Genomic DNA, 2,295 nt, shown 5'->3' with positions numbered 1-2,295 from the left:
TACTATTTGTGGAACTCTTCACATGGTTTTATGAGGTTTCCTTTAAGATCACTTGATTTGTCTCTTTGTCCATTCATTTTTTCTTCCTCTCCATTCTAGAGGAATTAATTCAAGCACACTCCAAAATATAACGACTATATGCAAAACTTCATTTTACACTCTGCTTGCAGGGGAAGCCAACTTGGAAATGTTAACACAGCATTTTTGTCAGAAAGAAAACACTTAGGTGAGATTTTGAACTGGATTAAATACCTCCCATCTGGAAATGAGGATTCCATAAGCATGGTGTGGAGCAGAGAGAGCTCCCGACAAAGGTAGCAGTGCAATTGTTAACATGCTCACCTGTGATAAACTGGGATGATATAATTGGTGGGGATATGCGAGCTAGGTATTCCATCAGTCCTTGGAGAAGTATAGGGGAAATAATAACATTGAGTACAATAGAATTGCTCAGTTTAATTACTTTGGGAAAAATAACAAAAAACAGAGCAATTAATTGGCAACTAATGCTAACTGTAAAGGTAAAACCAAGTCTTCTTATTATTGTACAAAGTAGATCTCATCTTCTACATTGGGTAGGAAGAGAAAGCTGAGGACCAGGGCCCTGCTTAGTTGTAAGAACACTTGACCTCTAAAGAAAGTCCCATGGTTAAATATTCACACAGAAACTCTGGGAGATGGGGCAGAAACACTGGTAGAATGGCTTCTAGAAATATGAAAATGTAATAGCATATACAGACTGTAGTAAGCAGAATAATGTCCACTAAAGATATTCTAAGATCCTAAACCTTTAGTATGTTTGGCTATATTGAAAAGGAGAATTAATATTTCAGACAAGATTAAGATTGTTAGTAAGTTGACCTCTAAATGAGAGGTTATCTTAAATTACCTTGGTAGGCATAATGTAATCACAAGAGACCTTAAAAGTGAAAGAAGAAAAGCAACAGGAAGATTTCTTAAAATGCTTCCAGTTCAAGTTAGAATTAAGGTGAACATTAGGTCCCACCAGCTTTACAGAGCTGTAGATGTTTTGCTGTTGTTCCTTCAAAAAAGAAGAATCTACAATAAACATGTTCATTTGAGAAAAATACTGTGTTTGTTAACTTTTTCTAGCCATCCCCAATTTACTTTAAACTTTGTATGTTGTTCAAGAACAGAGTATATCCTGGTTAGGATGTGTTTGTAGCTGATGCATCTCCAAAATTTTTTCATGAAGGCGGCTAGCTTCTGAACATCTTCAATCGTGACAGCATTATACAGAGAGGCCCAGATGCCTCCCACAGACTTATGCCCTTTCAAGGACAACATATTGAGTTCAAGAGCTTTATCAAGAAATCTTTTTTCTAAAGCATCATCTCCTTTGGCATTGCCAATGCAGAATGGAATATTCATCTTGCTTCTATTTTGGGGCCCCACTGGACATATGTAGAATCCTTGAGAATTATCAATAATCTCATAAATCATTTGAGATTTGATGGAGCTACGCTTCTCCATGGCCGCAACACCTCCATTGTTTTTAATCGACTCCAGGACCAAGCCCCTGACGTAGATGCTGAAACATGGAGGCATGTTGTACAAGGAGCTGTTTCCAGCCTGCACCTTGTATTCCAGGACTGAGGGGCACTCTAGGAGGGCAAATCCCAGCAGGTCATCATGGACAATCTCCACGGTGACCCCAGCAGAGCCAACATTCTTCTGGGCACCAGCAAAATGCCTTTGCTGCTACTTTTTCTAGTTAGATTTCAAACTTCCCTGTGGACTTCATAATGTAAGTTGCAATTAATTGTTTCTGGAGTCATGGGAACACACAGCATAGAGGGTAGGTGGGGCCGTCTAGGTGCTGAATCTAGACATCTGTGGAGTCTCCTGGGTTCAGTGGCTGTTGATTCAAGGTCAGCATTGCCCATTGGAGGAGTGGTTTAAGAGTACCAGGCAAAGGGCAAACTGTAGATCGATCTTTATACTGTTATTACAAGAGAAGATACATACTTTATGTATGTTTACATTAGCAAGGTCGGTTTTTAATACCATATACTTTATGTTTCTATACATTTATATTTCTAATAATACGGTTAACACTGATACATGTAGACACTTTTAGAAGTTATTAAATCCTTGACCTTGTGCATTATTCCATTAGCAACAGTTGCAACCCCTCCCCAGTCTTCCCCTTCTTCTTTTTAAGCTGTTTTATGAAAAAGATCCAGAAGTTCTTGATTCATTTTTATCATTCTTTCCATAGGTAGAAGAGAAAGTTGACTGGTTGGTTGTTTTTCAATTATGACATTAAATTAA

General features: G+C 38.2%; 1 pseudogene; it reads right to left on the bottom strand.

Annotated features, from left to right (window-relative positions):
- Nucleotides 1–983: 983 nt before the first annotated feature.
- On the bottom strand, nt 984–1,711 carry PSAT1P4 (phosphoserine aminotransferase 1 pseudogene 4; annotated as a pseudogene).

This window comes from Homo sapiens, chromosome 3, assembly GCF_000001405.40.
Source record: "Homo sapiens chromosome 3, GRCh38.p14 Primary Assembly".
NCBI classification, from domain to species: Eukaryota; Metazoa; Chordata; class Mammalia; order Primates; family Hominidae; genus Homo; species Homo sapiens.
The sequence above is the reverse complement of the archived record's forward strand: the minus strand, read 5'-3'. Positions and strand labels throughout refer to the sequence as shown.